The sequence below is a fragment of the Homo sapiens genome, chromosome 14, assembly GCF_000001405.40.
Source record: "Homo sapiens chromosome 14, GRCh38.p14 Primary Assembly".
NCBI classification, from domain to species: Eukaryota; Metazoa; Chordata; class Mammalia; order Primates; family Hominidae; genus Homo; species Homo sapiens.
The window spans coordinates 74,262,739-74,266,244 of NC_000014.9; the positions used below are offsets into that span (position 1 = coordinate 74,262,739).

At 50.6% G+C, this 3,506-nt stretch overlaps 1 annotated feature.

Moving 5' to 3' along the window:
• Positions 2,791-3,291: an enhancer, noted in NCBI's record as "H3K27ac hESC enhancer chr14:74732232-74732732 (GRCh37/hg19 assembly coordinates)". NCBI's record gives its function as "activates a minimal SCP1, AML or CMV promoter by ChIP-STARR-seq in naive H9 embryonic stem cells {active_cell/tissue: H9 hESC(naive)}" and the evidence as "EXISTENCE:reporter gene assay evidence [ECO:0000049][PMID:30033119]".

Genomic DNA, 3,506 nt, shown 5'->3' on the forward strand with positions numbered 1-3,506 from the left:
GTAGGGGAGAAATCCAGGAGTCCACTGTGGGTGGGGAATGGTTTGTGTTCCGTGTGTATGGGTGGCATAAAAAGTAAATCTACGGCTGGGTGCGATGGCTCATGCCTGTAATCTCAGCACTTTGGGAGGCCTAGGTGGGCAGATCACTTGAGGTCAGGAGTTCGAGACCAGCCTGGCTAACATGGTGAAACCCTGTGTCTACTAAAAATATAAAAAGTAGCCAGGGGTGGAGGCACACTCCTGTAATCCCAGCTACTCAGGAGGCTGAGGCAGGGGGATTGCTTAAACCCGGGAGGTTGAGGGTGCAGTGAGCTGAGATCATGCCATTGCACTCCAACCTGGGCAACAGAGCAAGACCCTGTCTCGAAAAAAAAAAGTAAATCTACAAGTTGATATTTTAGGTCAAAATTACTGGGTTCCTTTTTTAAAAAATTACTCTAATTGTAGAGGTACAAGTGGCCTACGTCTCTCCACTGAGCCGATACCACCCTTCAATGACATTCGTCACTGTGACATGGGATTGGCCTCCATGATCGACACAACCTAAATGTCCCAACGATCCATAGTTCTTACCTCTGACTCCCTCCTACTCCCCACATAGTAGTCGGCATTTGCCTCTCTCCTTGGTACTGACTTACTGATAACCCTGTTTCCTACTGCCCTCTGCGGAAGCTCACAGCCCACCTTGGCCCCCAAGAGAACTCCCTTCCTTTTGTGCACACCTGTGCCCTTCCACATCTTACCCTCAACCTAAACAACAACAAACGAAAGAGGTAACAGTATCTGGAGTTGAAAGCCAGACAGATTATGCTAAATCCGTGTCAAAGGGAAGGAGAGTCAAAGAGAAACAGCTCGAGGAAGACCATATGAAATTGTCTACTGACAGCTGTGACCCACCGACTTGATGATGTGATGGATGGAATTACGAGATGAGAGAGCGGGGTGAGCAGATGAGATAGGCTGTATTTGAGATTTGGGCCCAAGAAATCTCGTAAGATTGTTTCAAATTGGCTTAGATGTGAACTCCCTCGTGGATGAGGTTTCTGGCAGCCCATCAGCGAAGGAGAATGACAGGAGGTCAGCAGTCCTAATACCCTGGATTGGACCCAGATGTGGTCCTCGCAGACCAGGACCCTGAGGGGCACATGTGGGAAATCTCCAGCTCCTGTGTGGGGATGGGAAAGAGCCATGAGCCTGGCTTCAAGTCCTGCCGTGCCAGGCTGCTCCCAGGCCTTCCCCGGCATGTCAGCTCCTGCAGGATTCATCCTCGGTCTGGGAATGTCTTTCTCCAACCCTCCAGGAAGTAAACCACTTGTCAACCTTCCAGTCCCCTCCCCTCCGAAGCCCTCCTGACCTTCCAGGAAGAGTGTATTTATTTGCTGATTTATTTATTTTTGAGACAGGGTCCTGCTGTTGCTCAGGCTGGAGTGCAGTGTTGTGATCATGGCTCACTGCAGCCTTGAGCTCTCAGATCAAGGTGCCCTCCCAACTCAGCCTGCCGAGTAGCTGGGACTACAGGTGTGCATCATGCTGGCTGATTTTTAGTAGAGATGAGGTCTCACTATGTTGCCCAGGCTGGTCTTGAACTCCTGGGCTTAAGCAATCCTCCCACTTCAGCCTCCCAAAGTGCTGGGATTACAGGAATGAGCCACTGCGCCCAGCCAGCAAGTTTATAACCTCTGTTCTCTGACAGCACTTGGGACATTCCTGATTATGGCATTTTCCACGTTGTGTTGTAATTTTTTTTTTTTTTTGGAGATGGAGTCTCACTCTGTCGCCTAGGCCGGAGTGCAGAGGCAGGATCTCGGCTCACTGCAACCTCCGCCTGCTGGGTTCAAGGAATTCTCCTGCCTCAGCCTCCTGAGTAGCTGGGATTATAGGTGCGTGCCACCATGCTGAGCTAATTTTTGTATTTTTAGTAGGGACAGGGTTTCACCATGTTGGTCAGGCTGGTCAGGCTGGTCTTGAACTCCTGACCTCGTGATCTGCCTGCCTTAGCCTCCCGAAGTACTGGGATTATGTAATTTTTTTATTTACAAGTCTATCTTTCCCATAAGACGGATTTCTTCAAGGGTGGCACTACATCTTCTTCTTCTTTTATCCCAGGACCCATCAAAGGGCCTGACCCTCAATCCATTATTGAATGCACAGATGAATGTTCTGCCTATAATTCATCATTTATTCAATAATTTAAAAATAATGACTGAGCATTTAATATGTATCAGGCAGTGGGGCAAGGCACTGGGGATATAGTAGTAGGCAAAGCAGTCCCAGATTCCCTGTTTTTTTTTTTTCTTTTTGAGACAGAGTCTTACTCTGTCACCCAGGCCAGAGTGCAGTGGCACAATCTCGGCTCACTGCAACCTTCGCCTCCTGGGTTCAAGCAATTCTACTTCAGCCTCCTGAGTAGCTGGGATTACAGGCATATGCCACCACATCTGGCTAAATTTTTGTATTTTTCATAGAGATGGGGTCTCGAACTCCTGACCTCAAATGATCTGCCTGCCTTAGCCTTCCAAAGTGCTGGGATTATAGGTGTAAGCCACCGCGCCTGGCCCCAAGTTCCCTGTTCTCATGGCACTTACAGTCTGGAGGGAAAGACAGCATTTAAGTAACCATACAAATAAAATATAAAATTGCAAATGTCCTGTGAACTTGGAGGCATGCTGTAAGAAACCGTGAAAGCATCTAATAGGATGACCTGACCATCTGTGGGCCTTGGGCCGGGGTGTTTACCCTCTCTCTGTGTTATAAAATGGAAGAGTAACATCTGCTCCGCCCGTTGTGGCGTAGAGTATCCAGGAAGAAGCGAGGACGTGGAGAAAGGCACCGTACAGCACAAAGGAAAGGTGGAGGGGCCAACGCAAGCCTCTCAAGCCCAGGGGGCATCCTTGGCAGCTGCCCCACCCTCGGGTAGGCCTAGGGGACAACTGGGACACTCAGAGCCTTGGGAGATAGCAGAAATCCTCTTGGACGATCACCTCAGGGGATTTGCCCGGAGGAGAAGCAAGCAGCTCTCTGCACAAGGAAATGCAAATAGGTTTACAAGTAATCGATGAGGGGAGAGGCTGGACAGGAAAGGAAGGCCTGGATGGCCAGGCCCAAATGAGGCAGAACAAAGAGAGAAGTCCTGTTAGGTGGGATTGTACCCCAGGAGTGTCTTCTTCCCTCTGACCCTGACACCTGGCTCCTGGAAGGGAGATTTTATTCCAGGTTCTGCTGGGCTAACAGGCTGCCAAGAGATGGCTGCGTGCCCCAAGAAGAGCAGCAGAGAGCTACAGGGGCAGGAGGGGCTGGTTCATGAGGATTGCGGGTGCTGGTGAGCAGGCCTGGCAGGGAAAGATGAGGAGGAGTCTGGCTGGGAGTGGGAGAGTGGCAAGCAGGGCTGGTGACAGTGGGGGAGTTTCTGAGGCCAGTCCTATGGCCTGGAGAGAGCAGCTGCTGCAAGAAAGAGGGACTCGATCTCAGGGATCGCTGGGACCTTGGTCCCAGCCTCCTGCTGGCCC